We start from the raw sequence: 22,213 nt of genomic DNA on the forward strand, positions 1-22,213 counted from the left end.
AAATGACTTAGAAAAAAGGGCAAACTTGCTTTAAAATATTGATTTTAAATCAATATTGCATGACATCTTTTTATCTACTGTCTGGAAGAAATAACACATTAAACTTTTTATTAAAAGTAAGTTAGAGTAACTGAGAACATTTTCAATTGCATAATAAAGATTTGTGTCAGACATAAACAATCACTTTCTGTGAGCTCTGCTCTGACATTGAACAAATTCAGAATGACATTCACTATCCAACAAGATTTTTCCTTCTGAAAACACAGCCCACTAAGAATCTCCAAACCACTCCGCCTCCTTGGTTTCTGTATAAAGCACCAGGCAAACTTGAAAAAAAATAAACTGACTGGCTAGGGCTTGGTAAGGAAGCCTGAACAATGGGGAGGCTTAAGCAGAATTTTCCGAGAAGCCTATAGCTGCCAAACCAGGCCTTCAGAACCTGCCCTTTTCTGGCCAGGATGGAGTAGCAGAGGAAGAGGATAATCCTAGAGCAAGCAGACCACATCCCCAAGCTCTACATAGTAGTGTAACAACATTCATTCACTCATTCATTCCACTTATGCAACAAATCTTTGCATGCTAGGCATTGTTCTTGGTGCTAGAATACGATGGTGTTCCTGCCCTCAGTCTAGCTCAGAAGACAGATAAAATAACTAATAAATACGTGACAAGTCAGGTAGCAATGTATCCTGTGGAAAAAGCTAAAATAGAAGGAGAAAAGGGAACATTGGGGTGGGTTTAGACTTGCCAGGTAAAATACAGGACACCCAGTTAAATCTGAATTCCAAATAAATCCAGGTAATTTTTTTAGTGTAAGTATGTCCAAAACATTATTTGGAGCATTCTTATATAAAAAATGGCATATTTGTTGTCCATCTGAAATTCAAATATAACTGGGCACCCTTCCTCCCACCCAGGACCCTACATCTGTGAATCTTATTTGGGTTAGAAGAGGGAGAAGGATTTTTATCTTTATATTGAGTAGTCAATGAGGTCTTCTGATGATATGATCAAAAGAAGGTACCTAAAATAAGTAAGGGAGTGATCCATGCAAATATTTGGAGGAGGAATATTCAGTAGAGGGAAAAGCATGCGAGTGAAAACACCCTGAAGCCTTGCAAGTTACAATTATAATTTAAGTTGTATTCACAGTTGTGTTCCCAAACAAAGCATGCATAAAGTCCGATTGTCAAACATCTAGTGTGGAGTCTAGATGTGGCTAAAGAGTTGATTTTTAGACCCATCAAGTCACCCAGAAATCCCCTTCTGATTCTGCAGAGTGTCTGTTCTTTAGCGAGAGGAACCACTGATGCTTGCAACTGACTTCTGAGTAACTACTCAGAGAAACTACTCAATGGAGTAGTTCTCAATGGAGTCCAGGCAAAAGGACTTTGCGAACTGTAAAAATACCACCTGTGTTGAGCCTGAAGACCTTTAGTGTCTGGGTTTTATTTTTTAAAAAAAGTCTGATGCTGAGTTGCTTATCTGTTTCTTTCCAAATGCCCAGAACCTCACAAGTTAGTCGGCAAAATTGGACGGAAAATTTGGCCAGAATTCTAGAACATCCAATCCTGGTGCTTGCCAGAAATATCAAAAGAGTAGTCTTTCTTGTGGTACTTAGGATCTTCTGACTTCAGGTCCAGTTAAATACCAGGCACTTTCTTTTTCCTTTCTGGGTGGGAGAGTATGAAAGGGTATGAAAAAACGCAATACCTAAGGTAGGTTCTGAGAAGAAAATATATCTCAGCATTTAAAATTTTTCCTATTTTTAGATCCTTGATTGAAAGTAATGTAAACTAATGAGTTTGAATGTTTTTCTTTTGAAGTAAAAAGAGCTGCATAGAAAAGAAAGTGGTGCCTATCTCTGTGCCAAGACCAAAGAGTAATTTTGTGTCCTGGCCATTCAAGTTGTGGGTTGCTTTTCCACAACTATGCCTCCACTGCTATTACTTAGTCTGCTCAGAGCTCTATGCTGACTGGTGCCCACATAATCTAATAATGATCCAGATGCTCCTGCCGTGTATGTACTCTTAGATGGTGACTTTGGAGGAGATTTAACTCTTTCATGATCCTAGGAGGCAATGGCATGGAAAAGACTAGACAGTTACCTAACATCCGGAAATTAATTCAGCTTGCAAACTACTCTATGTGCAAAAAGGAACGGAGTTAACAATAACAGAAAACCAAGAAAGAGTAGTGGCTTAGAAAGATTTCTTTTTTTAATGTTTTGGGGTACTGAAAATTATATTCAAATTATCAGGGATTTATTGGAGACCGTTAATTAAATAAAGACAACACAGTTTGTCAGAGATAAGATATCTCCATGTTGTGTGGAGTGATATGTATTCAGAGTTCAGTATCTAGTAGGAAATGTCACTTGGCTAGATGATGGCCCCAGGAACAAGGTTTTGCCTTTCGATTTTGAAGAATCTAAAAGGTATCCAAAATGATGTGTAACTAGACAATTCCTCTTTAACCAGACATCTGTGGACACCTCAGGAATAATAAGTATTCCAGAAATATAGAGAATGAATTATGCTTCAGGATTTTGCTCCAGATATGTCTTCTTAGGGTGTCAATGTTGGTTGAGCTTGTTTAATCATCACTCTTTGTGGAATCCAACTCATAATTATAGAAGGGAGAGTAGAAAGCTTCACTGTGAAAGATGGCAGATCCTTAGTTTGACAATTTACTTATTTGCTTATTTAAAATAGATTTTTATAATTTTAACAAAATATATGGAAATATTAGTGAGTATCCCTAAAATATATAGAATAAAATAAAAATGTATTCCCATTAACTATAGGTGACAACATTACTGATGTTTTTTAAGTTTTTTCTATCTTTTTAAAAAAACTGTACCTATATATTAATTAGTGCTTCATTTTCCTATAAAATTGCATAATCCTCTACATATAGTTTTGCTTTCTGCTCTTTTGCACTTCACGTTATACTTTGCATGGATTTCATGCTATTAAGTGTTCTTAAAAACCTGTTTTTCAGAGGTTACACATTATTCTGTTATATGATAAACCATAATTTATTAAATCATTTTATATTTCAGGTAGTAATGATGACTCCAAATTTCTACTATTATAAATGACTATTCAGCAAACAACATTATACATAAAATTTTACATAAATTTCTTGAAATTTATTTTAGAAGTTTTTTTTCTGATGTAATTCTCAGATCAAAATATGTAGTCAATTTTAAGATTTGTGCTACATATTGACAAATTGCTTTCCAGGAACATTTGTTCATTGCAAGATTTTATAGCAAGTAATCGTGTGTGTGCATTTTAAGCCTTTTTTCTAGTCTGTTTTCTTTGCTTTTTTCTTGTTGGGACTTTGATGTTTTATAAGGTTTGTATTTGTCTTCCAGTGATTAGCTTTAAAATTATGCCTCACTGTAAGACCCTTAGTCCCCTGTTCTTTTAGATGACATAGTGTGTACATATTTTTTATATACATTACTATGGATGCTCTGTTGTCCATTGATGCCTAAAAAGCGATCCTAAAACTTAGTGTCATAGAACAACAATATTTTATATCTCACAATTTAGGGAGTAAGAATTCAGATAGGGCTCAGCTGGGCAATTCTTCAGCTCCATATTTCATTAACTTATCACTTGTTGGTGTTCAGCTGCTAGCTTGGCTGGTCCAAAGGTTTCAAAATAGTTTAACTTGTATGTTGGTGGCTTGGTGGGGGCGGGCCAATAAATTAAGCTCAGCTGGGACCCTCTTCCTTCCCATGTGGTCTCAGGGCCTTTCCAGGTGGTATCTTCAGCAGGGTATTCAACCTTACCATATGGCAGCTCATGGCTCAAAAAGGGGTATTACAAGGAGACTGGGTGAGCTCTAAGGGGCTTCTTATGACCTAGCCTCAGCCTCAGAAGTAGTTGAATTTACTTGCATTTGATTCAGTAAGCAAACACTAGGGTCAGCCCTGATTTAAGTGGAGAGGAATTATACTTGAAAGAGAAGTCTAGAAAATAATTTGTGGCTATCTTTAATCTACACCTTCCATCTTCTGGCCATGAATTGTTTACTTTCTCTAACATATAAAATACTTTCATCTCCTCCCAAAGTCTGCAAAAGTTTCATTCTCTTATGGCATCAGCTGGTAGTCCAGAATTTTGTCAATTAAATCAGGACCATGTACTCTCTGCACTCTTGCTTCCCCCTGCCACAATATGCAGGGTTGGGATAGAGATAGAGTTATTACAACAAATAATCCAGTTGTATAAGGTTCACAGCAATTTCTGAAATCCAGCATGGTTTGGGGCTTGTTGACTCCCTAAAAATGATTCTCCATGAGTCTTGGCTATACCCTCTGGGTTCCTGATTCTTCCCTTTGAGTTATCCTTTCTTTTCCAATAGAAATTACCAATATTTACATCTACATGTTAATAGCTTTCTCAACCAGCTCTGTAGCTGTAGAAGTTTTGAGGTTCAAAGCCCTCTTATTTTGTACAATTTCTGTCCATTTTAGTCTAACCCAATGTAATTAATTTAAAAAGTTTTTGATTTTTTTTCTTTTTTAATTTTTTTGAAACAGGGTCTTGCCATATTGCCCAGGCTGGTCTTGAACTTGTGGCCTCAAGCAATTCTCCCACCTCAGCTTCTTGAGTAGCTGGGATTACAGGCCTCAGCTCCTGTTCCTGGCTCAGTTTTTGGTTTCTTAGTTATCACTGAATAATATACTCCTTTAGAGAAAAGCCATGTCTACAAATCTCTTTGAGATTAACCCTTTATCTTAGGCTCCCTATGAGACTGCTGAGTGAAAACACCCTAAAACCTCTTAGAAACTTCACTGTCTACTGATGAACGTTTTCTTAGTATGACCCCTTCTGTAGCCCATGCTTTCCTCAGAACCTAATCCACTACATCAGTGCTTTTACATTCATTCCCATGCTCTGTAGTGTCCTCATGGCCACTATCACCAAAGAATACATAGTTCCTATATAGAAGGTGTACATTTTTTTTCTGGCACTTGCTAAGTTTCCCTACCACTAGCTATAACCCCCAACATGCCACCCCATTTTTCATAGTCTACTGCTGCTTCTGTTGCCTCTTTCCGCAGGGATTTCTGAAAGGCTTTGTCAGCCTCAGCTGCTTTAATCAACACTTACACAATTTGAAATTTATCTTGCTATTTCCCTGGAAATGGAGTTCACGAATTTTGTTGTTGCTGTTTTCCTTACTGCGTAGAGTCCAAGAGAGGAGAGAAGACTCAGATCTAACCTGCTACCATCTTACTACCAGAATTAAAATGAAATTATTTTAATATTCTTATATATTTTTTAAAATGATCCCTCTTAGGGATGTGTGTCAGAATGATAAGGGGTAAAAAAGAACATTTTGAAACAGCCGATTTGATATTACCTTAATTTGTATGAACACAATTTATTGAGGCCACTTGGGTATCACAATTTTTATTAACAAGTAATATGTCAAATGAGACACCCCATCGTTCATTTCAGTAATGAGTTCAGATGGGGGTGAGAGTTAGAGATAAGATGAGAAAGTATATTGCATATATTAATGAGTAAAGTGGAAAGGAGGAAAAGGAGATTGGCTAAGAGGAGGGGAACAATGTCTAACAGCTAGTTTATAAGAAGTGACAAAATGAACTGAAGTCAAAGCAACTAAATGGAGAAGGCTGTCTGAATGGACTTCTCAATGAATATGACATTAATGTCGGAGGAAAAGTCCACAGTGTATTTACACTGAAAGAAGCATGCATGTATTATAAAATCCAACATAAAAGTTAAATGAAGTTTTAAGTCAAAATAAAAGATTCTATCTGGAATTCTCTTCAACCTGATCACATAGCTGGCTCTCATCATTCAATTCTCAGGTTAAATGTCACCTGTTGAGGAAAGACTCTGAATTCCCAACCCAAAGTACTCCCTAAATCTCCACCTCATTAGCCCATTTTATTCATAATAGCACATTTCACTCCGTTTTCAGTTTATTTACTTTTCATTTTTATGATCCTTTGTTCCATTCATCCCAATCAATTATCAGCTCCATTACAATGATATCTTCCAGATCTTTTCAACGCTATTTTCTCTACATCTGGACAGATCCTGGTGCCTAGTAGGACCACAATAACATTTTGTTTGTGAATAATAGAGACGGCATGGAAATTTCAGCCTGTCAACAGCATGCCACAGGGGTTTCCACTTGCAGGGATCTAGTCCTTCTTTTCTGCTCTTAGGCATACTTAGATGCAGGTGGGAGTTTGTTCCAACAAATTGGTTATTTATAATATATAAGAAGCTAAAGACTGTATCATTTTTCTGTTGCATTGGATCATCTCATCAGCACTCATTAATTTTGAGTTTGTAAGGTATGTATTTTGTTTCCAGTGTGGTCTAGTCATAGAGAGTTTTATCTCCTACTTTCCAAATGTTGTTTGTTTCTTATAAATGGTTTCACTGGCTGTTTAATTAGCCAGGGCCTTCCTAACATTATTATGCAGTGATAATGGTGAAAGAGAATTCTTTCACCATTGGTGATGAGAATGGTGATGAGAATTCTTCCCTTGTTCCTGAATTTAATGAGAATATCTCTAGTAATTTCACAATAAGGTGAGGCTGATGAATGATTTAAGAGCTCTTCTATGTCATGGTTAATGAGTAATAGGATTTCATTTTATCCAATCAGATGTTTTCATAATAGTGCTGGTATTTGGTGATTTCACATCTATGTAACTGAGATAAATGCATAATTTCCTTATTTTCTTGTTATACTTATCAAATTTTGATACCATATATTTAATTTTTAAAATTAAAAAACTAGCCAGGCGGGTTGTTGAAGCCTGTAATCCCAGCACTTTGAGGCTAAGGTGGGCAGATGGGTTGAGTCCAAGAGTTTGAGACCAACCTGGGCAACATGGCAAAACTCCGTCTTTACAAAAAACACAAAAATTAGCTGGGCTTGGGGGCACATGCCTGCAGCCCCAGCTACTTGGGAGGCTAAGGTGAGACCACCGGTTGAGCTCAGGAGTTTGAGGCTGCAGTGAGCCATGATTGCACCACTGCACTCCAGCCTGGGCAACAAAGAACCACCCTGTCTCAAAGAATGAATAAGTAAAAATTCACTTTAATTTAATTTAAAAACTACTGTTTATTATTTTTAGATCCTAGAATAAGTAATATAAGGCCGGTAATTTTGTTCGTTGAACACTTAAAAGCAAAAGCTCATTAGTTAAAATAAAATACCATTTTGGCTTAGAGCCATGTTTGGAGATAATTTTTTTTTGTAACATATCCAATTAATTCAATGTTTACTTGTATATATGGATTGTCTAATTAAACTTGGTACAATTGATAAATGTATATTTTATCAGAAAATTGCCCAATTCATCCAACTTATCAAACTAATTAGAATTAGGCATTTTAATCTTCCATGACCATCTTTATCAAATGATTATGTTAAAAAGTGTAGTTGTTAGGAGCACAGGTTTTGGAGTAAGGGTGAGAGGACTCTTCTTTGAAATTCCAGCACTGATACATAAGAAGCTTTGCTGTAATGGCAAGTGAAACCCCCAATTTCAGTGACCACATTTATTAAAAAAAAAAAAAAGAAAGAAACACTTTAGAGTTTTGTTTTAAGGATTAACTGAAATAATAGGCAATGCTTAAGTGTAGTGTCTGCTACAGAAAAAGTACACAATACATCACAGGTATTTATCATTATAATTTGAATCATTGTTTCTTTCTGGGTTTTATTTGCCGGGAATTTTTCTCTTCTTTTATACTTCTTGAATTTATTTAATATTTACATTATCTTTTTCTTTTATAATAAATCATTTTCTACTTTTATCTTCACTATTATCTTTCTTCTATTTCCCTTAAGTGGGTTTTCTTTTTCTAACTTCTTGAATTGAACTCTTGGTTTATTTTCATTTTTTTCTTATTTAATTGCAAAAATATTACAAGGCTGTGATTTTGTCTCTTCATACCACCTTGGCTGCATCTCATAAAAGTTAAAATGTAATATACTAATTTTTATTATTTTCTAAATTATCTTTAACTGTTAACTTTTATTTCTTTTTTGGTCTGAACAAAGTTATTTAGAAAAATTATAGCAACTTTTCTAATGGTTAGAGTTTTTGCTTGTTTTGTTTCTTTAGCCTTTTATTATTATTTCTTATATTATTTTATGTTAGTCAGACAATGTACCCTAAATAATTTCTGCATTGTGGAATATACTAAAATATTTTCCAAAACTCTACATGCCTATTTTTTCTGCATGTTTTATAAATATGATATATTCTATATTCTTTGTAGAGTTTATAGTGAAAGTACATTTTTAAATTTAATTTAATTATATATATATATATATATATATATATATATATATTTTTTTTTTTTTTTTTTTTTTTTTTTCCTTGAGACAGGGTCTTCCTCTGCCACCCAGGCTGGAGTGTGCAGCAGCATGACCGTGGCTTACTGCAGCTTCAACCTCTCAGGATTAGGTAATCCTCTTACTTTGGCCTCCCAAGTAGCAGGGACTACACATGTGTATTACCATGCATGGCTAATTTTTTGCCTTTTTTGTAGATATAGGATATTGCCATGTTGTTCGGCTGCTCTCAAGCTCCTGGGTGCAAGCAATCCATTTACCTTGGCCTCCCAAAGTGCTGAGATTACAGGTGTGAGCCACTGTGCCCAGTTGAAAGTATATTTGTTAATTTAACTGTATTAGTTAATTTTCAAATGGTCTCCATTTTTCTCTTGATCTACTAGAGGCATCAATAACAGAACAGTGTTAGTCCTCTATAAAAAACTGTTTCTGTACATTTTTAACATTATGTATTTGATTCCATTTTCTTAGCCTATAAAGATTTGTGGTGACCTTTTCACTACTTTATTTGAAAGTATACTTTTTCTGTATAAATGGCTTTTTGTAATTGGATTGCTTTTCCTGCAATATGCTTTTGGTTTAAATTAATATTTTCATCTCTACAATTGAACAAATGGACAACTTTTTCTGGGTAAAAATAAAAGATATCTGAAGAGACAGGAAAGATCAAAGTCCATCATGATACATTTAGAGCAGAGTAACTGCCCTTGTTCTCTTCTGAAGGGAACATCTTTGCCTAAAGAATTTTCTGCTGACATGCAGTTGATAACATGCAACATTAGCATGAAAAGTTGTGAGAAGGAAGGATTTGCTCTTGACTAGTTAAGAAATAGGCTTAACAATTCACAAATTTCTTATGAGATTAGACTTTAATACCTAATAGTCACCTTTGTCAAGGAAAATATATTTGACACTGTGGGAAATAATTGCAATTTATGGAAATGTTTTGAACCAAGGAAAGAAAAATAAAAAAGATTGCTAATCAGAGAATGGTTAATATGAAGTTGACTCACTGTACTGGAGGGAAGAGGGATCTTGACCAGCTCATCCTCTGGTCTTTCTCTCAGACAAGACTTTGTTTGGCTCCCTAAAGTCATACTTCATCATCACAATTAAAATTCTTTTTACATAACACTTTAAAAGAGAGACTGCAGTTCATCCCACAGATACCTTTTCACAACTATCATTTTTAGATATCTAACTACATTTACGAATCCTTGCTTAATGCTTTTTTATTTGTTCCTATCTTCTTTTTCCAGTCACAGATGGTAGAGGACAGGACTGTCTTGAGTTTAGTTTGCTGTGTAGTAGGCTTAGCACAGAAACATGCTGTAAAGTCTATCATGATGTGTTGCTGTCTCCTTTTACAAATATTATCCTTCCATAACTCTTCTCACTTTTCCTCCCAAAATGAGCAGAATAATTGATGGTAGTCCAAGTGTTAGGTAAAAAGGTAACCTATAAAGGACAGAGAAGTTTTCACTTTTCCTTTAAATCTTCAATCCTGAGCCAAAATTATTTAAAAACTGTATTTGACAAGGCCATAATATAAATATAGTTTGAAATATTTTCATAAAATTTGCAATTGCATAGTTAATTGGGCGAGAGGGAGTAGCAGACAGTTAGGTTAGATGTAAGTTGCTGTATCATCTCATCAAAGAAATCTAAGTAGCCTCTTTGTCTCAATCTATCCATTAATTTTCAAATACATTTCAACCACTTCAGAATCTACTGATTACTGAATGAGCTATTATCTATGTAGTCTGATTTTGGTGGGGGTGGGGAGGGCGCTTAAAAGGAAAATTGTCTTGAACATGCAGTACCTGGTAGAGGTTTGAATAAAACAAGGCCAAAATATACTGGCTCTATCTCAGGACATCCAGGATCCCTGAATAGTCTGTAATTAAGGAGGAGTTGGAGGAGTGGTGCTTGCATTATGTAAAGGAGGGATACATAATTGAATTAAGCAGTGGAGGAAGGGGAAGAAAACAAAGATCAAAGCCAAGTAACATCAGTTCCTGTTCTTGGCAATGACATTTATGATGAAAAAATTTCTTTTGTTATTTTGCATATTATACCACTCTTCTTCAAATGAATACACTACTGCAAAATTTGTAATTTACACAAAGTTCTTTTGAATATTTGAATGTTAAAGGAAAGCTTTACCAGGTTTAGCTTTAGGAGGTCTAGAAATCTCTCCTAATACTTCCTGTGTGGGCCTTTATGTTGGAACATGAAAGCAGCTGACAATGTAAAGAGAAAGAAAACCCTTAAGATTGAACATAGTTACTGGTGTCCCACACATAAACCGTGCAGTTGGGAGTAGCCTCTGGGGGCCATTTCCAGGGAAAGCCTCACCTGGAGAGGTCAGAACCTCAGGATTTTAAAAGCAAGGGGCATGCTTCATTACAATGTGGGCTGGAGGTGAGCAAACATCCCATCACTCTGTAGAGAGGCTGTTTCAAGGCTCACCCAAGTGTTCAGACATAAATACACAAGCAGGAGGCCCTTTAGAAAGAGTTCAGACAAGTTATATACTACCTGAATGTGAGCCAGGCCAAACTGCTCGGGCCTGAATTAAAAGGAAACAGTTTATAGGCTGTAGGGCCACTTACCAATCCATCTTTTTCACTGGGGAGAAAAAAAATCCCTTTTGCAGAGGTGATGAAAACCTGTATTAAAAGGTGACACAGAAAGAAAAAAAAGGGCTAAGCCAATTGGTTAAGTATTTCAAAAAATGAGAAAAAAAAAACAACAACAACATGATTTTTAAACTATTTAAGTGGAAAGGGCAAAAAGGGAAGAATAATTATGGTACATTCTATGATTAGTAGTTCCAGGCCAAATAATAATGACAGCAAAGAACACTTAGAAAAATTTAAGAATTATGTTATTTTTAAGTAGACATCTGTTTTTATGATAGCTACATATATGAATATGTTGATGAACCCTTTACAATAGCGTGAGATGTGAGGTTTGTAAAATTCAAACGCAGCCAATTAAGTAGGCCCATAGCTAAAGCCAATGCTCTTGAAAAGTCTAGAAAGGAGAAGTCTAGCCAAAGCACAATTTATGAATTGGTAATTGCTCTGTTCTATTATGGATATTAGTCTGTAAATGACCTTTGACATACTTCAGGCTCTCTTATGCACACAAGCCCATGGGCACTTGCAGATACATGCACACCTCAATGTAGATCATAAATGTTTATTACCATTGCCCATTATAGATTGAAAATAGAATGCACAATAATACACATAGAGTATCATATTAGTGGTCTTTGAAAAGTGCCCATAAAGGACATATCTTATTCTTTTGCATTAATGTAAAACATATAAGAGGAATTGCTACATGGTGCTGTGACCAGAAGGGATGGAAATGTGTCACCCCGATCCCCCTACAAGATAGGACTTGTTGACTCAATTGCTGGAAGACAGCCTCCATTAGTCAGCTCCTCCAGGGTTTCCAAAGTTTTATGTGAGCTGCGTGTTCCAAGACATGTTCTTGCCCCACCCTACTCCTTGCCCTGATACAATGATTGATTGAGGCGGATGTAAATATCCATCATATTCTGCCTAAGGCAGGAGAACTCTGAAGGGCTCTATATGCACCTGAGCTTTTGGCCAAGGTTTTATTAGACCTCCATGGGTGTTCAATTTCTCCCTCTGACCAATGCTACCTCTTATTCTGATGTACTTGACTTATCAAAATCATTCTTAGTGCCTTCTTCCAAGAAACCTGGAATATGGTCCTGGAAATAAGACCATATTAAAAGGATTTCAGTAAGTATTTTGTGCATCAAATTTATTTTATAAGTTGGGCAATGAAATTACAAAAGGAAGACAACCTGCTTAGGTTGAATAGTGTGTGACACATTAGGTATCAGGGCTATTTTCTAGTCTTTTGATTACCACTCACTCTTTTGATTGTGAGACTTATCAGGGACATTCGATGAGAATGCATAACATTGTAAGTTGTATTCAATTAGCAAGTGAAAATCTAGGCTATCAAGTAACTATAGTTGCATATTAAAATTATAGACAGGGTAACTAATAAACTAGAACATAGAGGCATATTAAATAACTTGAGTCACCACTGGCTCTATCTTTCTCTACATTTTCAGTAGCATTATGTAGCTAGAAGGGATCTTGGAGAACATGTAGCTCAAGTCTTTCAATGGTACACAAGCAGAACCTGAAAGTGTATGATCTCAGAGTTAAACATGAAAAGTAGACAAGATACTTTGATAAGAAATAGATAAACCCAAAGACAGTCAATGCATTACCTGGTATTTGGGGGGTAGGTATGGAGTTAAGGACAATACAAGGTATTACCTTCAGGTGGGTTCATCAGTTTTTTAGATAACGATTGAATACACATTTACTTCCCTTAACATGGAAAAAGGGCAGATGAAACTACATGACATGTCCTGTTGTTATCTTAGTTTCATGTATTTCAAACCTTTAAATTGAGTCAAATATAATCATTGAGATCATGGATGTTTATTTGGTATCCAGTATGTGCTAGGAAATGTTCTAGGTGCTGGGAATACGGTGATAAGTAAACTCCTAAAGTCTCTGACCTCATGGAGCTTATATTCTGATAGAAGATACATGATAATTAAGTAAGCAAGTAAGTAAATAAATGTAGCTCATATATATTAAAATGTCAAGTATGTTTTAGCAATAAAAATGAAGTAAGGTAAAAGGATAGTGTATTAGTGAAGGTTCTCTAGAGAAGCAGAACCAATGGGAAATGTAGATAGATGGATAAATGGATACATAGATGGATAGATGGATGGAAGGATGGGGTGGATGGATGGATAGACAGATAGATGATAGATAAATGGATGGATGTACACACACAGATATATAGAAAGAGATTTATTATCAATGAAGGATTAGCTCAGAAGCCTATAGAGGCTGAGAAATCCTATGATCTGCTGTCTGCAAGCTGGAGGCCCAGGAAAGCCAGTGGTGCAGTTCCAGTTCAAGCCTAGAGGCCTGAGAACCGAGAGAGCCAAGAGATATAGGTTCCAGTCTAAATTCAAAGGCCTGAGAACTGGGGGCCAATGATATAAGTCCCAGTCAGGTTCTGAAGGCCCAAGAACCAGGGTTGCTAATATCCAAGGGCAGAAGGAAATGGATGTCCCAGTTTGAGCAAAGAGAAAAAATTTGTCCTGTCTCCACTTTTTTGTTCTACTGGGGCCCTCCACAGAATGGACGATGCCCATACCCATTGGTGAGGGTGATCTTCCTTACTCAGTTTACCAAATCAAAAGCCACTCTCTTTGGGAAACACCCTCAAAGACACACCCAGAATTAATGTTTTATGAGCTTCTTGGCATCCCTTAGATCACTCAAGTTGATACATGCAATTTACCATTACAGCCAGGTGTGGTGGCTCACACCTGTAGTCCCAGCACTTTGGGAGGCCAAGGCAGGAGGATTGCTGAAACCCAGGACGTTGAGGCTGCAATGAACCAGGATCGTGCCAAGGCACTCCAGCCTGAGTGACAGAGCAAGACTGTCTCCACCTCCAAAAAAATACTTAACCATTACAGACATTGACATGGCAGAATATTCTAGGTGGGATTGTTAAAAGTTATACTCTGGAAGATTAAATTTGGGTAGAAAGGTGGTTGAGGAAAGAAAGTGAGCCATGCAAATATCTGGAATACAAGTATTCCAAACAGAAAGTAAAAGCCCTGATATAGGAAGGGTTTTGGGGTGTAGAGGAATTTGAAGGCAAGGGTTGTTGGAGTGCAGTGAGTGAGTTGAAGTATGATAGGAAATTAAGTCAGAGTGGTTGTCAGAATCTCATGACTTAGAAGCCATGATAAGGATTTCAAATTTTATTCTAAGTATAATGGGAAGGCATTGGAAGGTTGAGGGTAGGAACATGATATAATGTATCTTTTAGAAAGATCACAGACAACTGTGTGGAGGCCAAATTATAGAGAGTAAAAATATCATAGAAGCAAGTAGTATGAGGAGTACTGAGAGACTATTGCAGTAGCACAGAAAAATGATGGTACTGGCTTTGCTTATGGTGATAGCCACGGAGATGATAAGTTGTTGAATTTTAAATATGTTTTGATTAGGAACTGACAGTTTTGCTGTTGATTTGGATTTGGGGTGTGAGAGAAGGAGAGCAGTCAACGATGACTCTCAGGTTGTTTTTTTTTTTTCTGAGCAACTGAGTAGATGATTGTTCATTTACTTAGATGGTGGCCACTATGGGAAGAAATCAATTGGTGCCATAAGTAAGCATTGAACTATTGCCAATGGTTCATCTGTGGCATGATTATGTTTTCAGATCTCTCCTGATCCAGTTATGGCTCTACTTTTGCTTATTAGTGCTCCACCATTTAGTTGGGGTCAAAACAAGTACAAAACAAGAATCTGACATGCCAGAGTGCCAAAAGAGAGAGAGAAAAAAGGAGAACTGGAAAGCATAAGATTGTAGGATTGAGAAGCAATGATTATGGTGTTTGTCTTTTTTTTTTTCTGGAATAGTTGCAACAAAGCATACGAGATGTTCTGCCCTTCTATAAGGAATGTAGAAAATATAATACAAGGGTTCTTTTAAATTCTATAATGTTCCCCATTTTTATTGATATTTTCCTAAAATGAAATAGAAATGAATAATGCAAATAACTTTTCTGATTGCAATTTTCATTTCTATTCCTCAAAATACAGTGCTTCACCCACAGCTGTATAATATTCATTGGCAAAATAAACAAATATAAGAAAATTTTCTGATTACCCTCTTCTCCTCACAGCATTTCCCTGATGTCTTTGGTAAAGGACTGCTTTATCTATGGCTTCATGTATGTTTGTGAGAAGGAATGTTGGTTGCAAGTATTTGAAAGTTGTGTGTTTACATTTAAATTTCCTTCGAAATTTCAGTCACACTACTTATGCTAGTTTATCTCAAAAAATACTCATAAGGTCACAGATATTGCCTCAGCTAAGATCCTCTGAGAATTTGAAGCCTCACTGGGTCTCAATGCCAAGAGAGTAATATTTGAATAGTTGATGTTGACTAATTCTACTACCTACCATACCATCTTTCATCCAACCAGCAACAAATTCCTAAAAAATACATTCTTTGCCAGTTCTGCCAAGATAAATATGCTTTTGCCTTAGGAAAGTTTTGCCAAAAGCAGGACATGTTGGTGAGAAGCCCTTATCAAAATCATCATCCCATTATTATAATCATTATCATCATCACATTATCATTGTCATCATGTCATTATCTTGGGGTGGGAGGCAAGAAAAGCTTGTGATAAGATGATACATTTCTTAGACACACAGAGTATTTCTACTCTGTTTTCCACACGTCTCATAGACTCTGTGCCTTGAGATCTTTTAATATGCATGTTCAGAGACTTGTGGTTATAATAAAGCGAAACTTAATTGATGTGCTGCAGTAATATGTAGCTCCAACTAACTCTTATAAAGTGACAGCCCATCTACAGAGAAAAATTCCAATCCTTAATTATTATTAATATAGCTATCTACGTGATTTAGCTCTGAAGCCATTTCAATGGGCATTGCATTTTCAATATAGGTCAATTAATTTCGTATTAGTTGCTGTTATTATGTTGCCCCAATTGACCTATTTCATATTTGCAAGGCTCCACTGTAGAGGAGAAAAAGACAACAGAGCAAACCTTTCCTTTTAAGCTGCTGTAATGTCCCATCTTTCTGGAATTGCATTCAGAGTAAGGATTTTGCATGAAAGGGTTTCAGGAAGTTACAAAACTCCTTTACATGGCCTGTTGGATCTGTGTACAATTTCTAGCACTACCCAGAATAAATACCAGGAGACTGGTGTGGTTTATAGAAGAGTTTATAGAGAAAAAAAATCCACCCACCAGCTCCCAAGCTGAGGATTACAACCAGGTCCCTGCTGCCAAGTTCTGTGTTTAGGTAAAGCATGAGAAAATCTGCCATTTTTTTTTAAATCACAAAAGGGTTTCTATAGATGGAGCGGTAAGAAGCTGACAGCTTTTTATGCATAAAAGGCAGCTGTTCCTTCTCAGGTAATATTATTAATAAACCCTAAGGTAATGTTTGCTCTGAAATATGTCTAATTGAAATAATTTACTCTGACCCTTGGAGGATTATGAAACTGTTTTCATCATGTTCACACACAGCAAAATAATTATGAGATGCCATATGGAAAAGCCATCATGTGGTAGATGTCTTTCTGAATCTATATTTTTGAAATGTTTCTCACAGATAAATCATATAGCTAATTTACAAAGTAGAGGTGAGCAGTCCCTTTTCCATGTGGAGATCTGATGTGAAATGTTTGCAGACCCAGAATATTAACAGGGGCGTTGACATCAGTAATTACTATAGTTACGAGACATTTTTCACAAAGTATTATGAGAGCAATACTTAGTTATACAGGGAGAAAAAAGCATGGGACTTTTTACATCGTGTATGAAATATGTAGGTACCGACAGTCTCAGAAAACAGTGTGGGCACATTGGTGACTGAGGTGCTTTTTGCCTGTAGCATAAAATCTGTCTGGAAAGTTCCAGCAATTTCCACTGAGATAGCACATTTGGCAAGATGAGGCTGAGTGTGGTATGTAAGGACTTTCGGGAAAACTTGTCAGCTTTCACAGGGAAAGGTCCAAGTGTTTATGGGAACTATGAAGTGGTGTTGGGTGGCTCTCAAAGGGATCTGTGGGGTCACTGGGGACAGACGTTTGAAAGCTTTTTGATGGAAGCTCTTCTGAACTTATCAAAATGGTTAAAAGTCTGGCAGTGAGTCTCATGAGAGCAGACTTTCTTGTGAAATTTCTGGTATGGTACTTTCCTGCCGGGGTGAGAACATCTTAGGAGGACAGACTTTCTCATCATATTTTAATTCTTGGGATCTGTGTCCCTGCTAAACCCAGGAAATGGAGAATCACAGGAAACGGCATTACTTTTCAACCTCTGGGAAGTTAAGATCAGATTTCTCTAGATTTTCAACTGTTTAAGTAAATCAGCTTGCCTAACTTCCTGGCCATCCCCCCTCCCACCAACATAAAAAAGGTGGGGCACAAGAAAAAAAGGGAAAGACAAAAAAGAGGATTTTTGAAAAGTGTAATTTACTTTTCCATAAGTTCCCAGTTTCTACAGACTTCCATCAAACAAGAAAATCAACAAGGTAGTAAATTATAGCTTGTTAACCCTGTTGTACTTAAAACAGGGTTAACCCTGCCTGCTTTTTCTTACCGCTCCCTCAGGGGTATCAGAAGCCTCTTTGACCCTTTGTGTTGTCAGTTATGTGAGGGATCTCCAGCTGCCCATTATTGGATTTCAGAGAACTTGGTCACAGTTGCAACAAATGAGCATTTTCTTCTTCTAACAGCTCTTTTGAGGCAGACACTGGGATGTGGATCATGAGTCCGGTCAGTCAGTGTCATCTCACAATTAGCTAATAGTTGGCACATGGAAAGCCTAGTTCCAATCCCCATGGGTCCTTGCGGGAGCCTCCCATTTGTTTACAGCCTCATTTTACTTCCATTCTCAGCATTCAGTTATCCTTAAACTTTCAAAGAAAAACAAATTTACATAAAAGCTCATGTATGTGTATATGATCTACAAATATTTACAAGGTTACTTTAGAAATGCATGACAGAAATTTTTTCAGTTTTCCAAAATTGCAGTCTACCTTCCAAAACAGAACATGGGATTTAAAAAAGAAATAGTGAAATGCAAAACTGGAAACCTGACAAAACTATGAAACTGCTGCTATTTTCTAATATATTTCAGGTCAAATCCTTGTACTTCCCATTTTTAAACAACTGCCAAATCTTCATTTTTGTATCTACTAGACATCTGTGCTATTGGTTAGCACTATTTCTAGCTATTGTCTGTCCTAAAATAAAGGTAACATATTTTCTGTGATTTATAGTCTATCATTATCATAGTGCAGCCTCTGAATGCATGAACTAGAGATTTATTGCACACTCATGTCTTATACCAGACTCATGTAATAGAGGAAAGGTAAAATGTCTTGGCTTGTTGAGGGCTCCCTTCTTCAAGTAGTTGTCTTTTTGGTGAGGGGTGTGCAGCTTGATTAAACTACGTCACGAAGGTCATTGACCAAACGTTGTCTTTAATAGTTTCCCATAACGTGTATTCCTCATAGGGAGCTTTTCTCAGCTCAGGTTATTTCCACCAATGTTCTCAAACCAAAAGAATGGTCTTTGCAGTAAACCGACAAATTCCCACATTTCATCCTTTATCTCACACGTAAGTGATGACAGCATTTATATTTCTTCTGCTGTCTGGGCCAAGAACAACTGGATTAATGAGCCTATCTCTTTTTCATAAGTGCATTATACTCTCTCTTTGACCTTCTAAGCATGGGAATTTTTGATTTTATAAGACTGATTAAAGAGGAGAATTCCCCATCCCCATGCCACTGTTCTTCTCTTCACATTTCCCCCCCTAAATGGCCAGCCATCAACGAGGATGTATTCAGTAAATATACACACAGACATATACACTCTATGCACACTTTCACATCAACTGGAATGTAGTGTCTATAGCAAAGGTATAAAGCAAAATTTGCTGTAGGATTGCTTTCTTATGTTATAGCACACTCCACAACACTTTTTGAAAGACACTATCACAAAAAGATAAACTGCACAAGTATTTCAAGAAATATATTAGCTAACACTAAATGTATAAAATTTAGGAAAGATAATCTGACACCCAATTTCCTTTTCAGAAATATATTGGTGATATTTTCATGTGTTCTTACCCATTATTGTTTATTAATATTGTAGTTCCTGAATCCTGATTATATTTTTATATGTGAATGGCTGATAACTATGTAGGAACAGAAACATGAGAATATGGCTAAATTCACAAAGCCAGAAGCAAACTACTGCTTCTTTCATATCCTTCATTCAGGCACCGCACTGCTTATAAATTTTTATTTTGGACTCAAGAATCTCATTATGAGGTCAGTATTTTCCTCCTATTTTTATTCCAGTGAAATTTAGCTGATGCTAAGGCAATGAATTGATTATGTCCTAAAAGAGAATGTTGCCAGAGGGCAGTTTCTCAAGACATTGCTAAGTGCACTTGGCTGTTGAGTAATTAGGCTTCCTGTTCTCAGAGCATCAGAACAAGCAAATGAGAGTTGCCTTAAGGTTTCCTTGTTTAGAACATCACTTATTTTGGCCATTTCAGAATCAGGTAAAATCCTTTCTGGTAAAACTTAAACAGTCAGGCAAATTCGTTTATTCTATTAGAGTATCATTTAAATGAAAATATCCCTAGAAATTTCATTTTTCCTCATTTTTTCTCCATTTGACAAGAACAGAAAAAGGAGCTGGTATCTAACCACTCATAAGTTAATTGCAAATGAAAAAGAGGACTTGGAACTGAAGTATCAAGAAGGAGGCTGGGTCTTTTCCCAAATCCCTAGTTTTACTAAGAATCTGTCAAATAGGGAAATCCCATTTTGCTATCCTACAGGGATCTCATAATGAACACATATAAAGAGGAATTTTAAAATTCTTGTCTCCAAACTGTTTCTTCCTTTATCTAGTGCATTTCAATAAATTATGCCATGATCTATGAAGTTGCTTAAAATAAAAAAAAAAACAAGTACTCTCCTTGATTCCTCCCTTTCTTCAACACCTACAATATATATAGCACGTCCTCTGCTCTGTTTAAATCTCTTGGTACCTACTGCTAACACCCTAGCACCTCAGTTTAAATCACCATTATCTTTCACCTAAACTACTGAAATAACTGTGATCAGTCAGAGTCAAATGAGAAAACAGAGTCAATGCTTGGGAGTATGTAAGAAGCCTAAAATATATGACAAAGGAATTAGAAGGCTGAAAAGCCAACCAAGGATGGTGTGCCAACCCACACAAGTGTTGCCATTCCTGCACCTGGAGGGCAGAGGGAGAATATGATATTACCAGGATATTACCAGAGCGTAGGAACCAGGGCCAGTCAGCTGGAGGTGAAACCACAGTGAGAGGGGCTGTTTAGATCCCTGATTAGAATTAGAACCATGAGGAGATGAGGCCATTACTAGAGATTCTACCAGAAGCAGTGGGAGGGTTGGAATTGGGGGCTTAATTTATCCCTTCCTGCAGCCTAAACTCATAATTAGGGCTTCCCATTTACCCCACCTAGCTAGAAAGCAGTTGATAAAAAACCTTGAACATGTTTGTAAAAGCCAATTTCTGGCAAGCAGAATAAGCATGGGAAATGAATCTGTGAGCAGTAAGGAAGTAGGAAGTAAGGAAGTAGCACAGTCCACCCCTTTTTCTGTGCGGCATGCATTTTTGCTAACTATACATCATTTATTCCCATGAAACAATGACTTCATTCTTCTACCTAATAAAATGCAACCCAAAACACAAATGAAGATGCTGTCACACCTCTCCACAAAAGGGACACAAAAAGTCTCATCTTCACTTTTCATTCTCAAAGTTGAAGGTGGTCAAGTGATACAATGTCCTCTTCATCAGGTCTTGATGCAGTTTCTCAGAGTGCAGTGATTTGTGAGTCACTATGAAAATCTATGCATCATGAACACTCCCTCATAGATCATATGAATAGAGAAAGAGGAAAGGGCAAAATAGAAATAATTTGTTAATATATACATAACAAAAGCAGGCAGAGCTAGCATCACCCTCATCATTGTCTCTAATCATGAGTGTGCTGCCTTCCTTCATTCTTTTATGTTCCTCTTGCCCTCAACCAGAACCTCAATTGGTCAGGGTTATTTATCTGGCTGGTGAACCAAGACTTCCTTCCTGAAGGGTTGGAACCCTTAGTGATTTTGGCTTTACTGGATAGTTGCCTTTTGATTTTTACTACTAAGCTTGAAAGTATTAAGGGAAGATGAGAGTAAATCCCATCATGTTTCAGCAAAACAATTTTCAGTTGTTAGGATCAATCCCCACAACCCCTTTCTTTGGCTGATGGTTCAATGGCAGGAGAAGCCCAAAGTATATCAAGGTGGGGGTTTCAATTATATTTCAAAGGGACAATTCTTGTGTTATTAATGTAAGTATTTCTTTTTTGGGAACTAAGATCTCTAAATCTGCTGAGTATGAAGTTATAAAGACAGCAAAAATGATACAAGTATAGTTATTTAGAGTATTAACAAAAATGGTAATTCCATTTACCCATTTGTTCCAAACCTTTATATTCAGGCCATGAGAGAAGCAGTACCTTATAATGGTTCCTTGTTCAAAGCACTCAATATTCCTAGGATGTGGTCTCCCAGCTGACTTCATAACTGAATCATCAGTAATTAATTTCATTGTTCTATTAGGTAAGTTTTCTTCAGACAATAGGGTACACTGCAAGACAAGTGAATTTCATGGGTATAAATTCCTTGCTGCACATTTTGCTGTGAAATGAGCTTCAACATGTTGTGGGATTCTATGAAGATTAACAGTATATTTTTATAAGTTCATGAAATGATAGTACTGGCAAGAAGCATAGCAAATCCATGTATAGAATAGATATCCATCTAATGAAGCCAAATTTCTGCCCCTTCCAAAATGGTTCACTGTTGATTACAGAGGACCACTGTAATCAACCTGCCACCTGAAAGCTGCTAATCCCTTTGATAATGATGCTCTGTCAGGTATTAAATATTGGTCACTGAGGTTGTACTTAGAAACCATGTTATGGTGATAAAGTGGAGGTGAAGACCATGCAGTTGAGGCCTTGCATTGCCTCTGTCTGTCATGATGGCATCTTTGTACAGGGACCCATTGGATAAGCACTGGGGAGGGATGCTGCCTGATAGCCTTTGTATGAATTATTTTGACAATATGA

The 22,213-nt window shown here is 36.6% G+C and overlaps 2 long non-coding RNA genes across 2 annotated transcripts in view; both read left to right on the plus strand.

Annotated features, from left to right (window-relative positions):
• The window catches only part of TEX41 (testis expressed 41), a 408,763-nt gene that overhangs the window by 381,274 nt on the left and 5,276 nt on the right, over window positions 1-22,213 (plus strand). Inside the window, exon 4 of the long non-coding RNA NR_033870.2 lies at window positions 21,580-21,701. This is a non-coding gene — a long non-coding RNA (testis expressed 41). The remainder of the gene's footprint in view (window positions 1-21,579; window positions 21,702-22,213) is intronic.
• Window positions 1-22,213, plus strand: part of LOC100505498 (uncharacterized) — a 257,710-nt gene that overhangs the window by 42,840 nt on the left and 192,657 nt on the right. The window lies entirely within an intron of this gene.

The sequence above is a fragment of the Homo sapiens genome, chromosome 2 (assembly GCF_000001405.40).
Source record: "Homo sapiens chromosome 2, GRCh38.p14 Primary Assembly".
Taxonomy (NCBI): domain Eukaryota; kingdom Metazoa; phylum Chordata; class Mammalia; order Primates; family Hominidae; genus Homo; species Homo sapiens.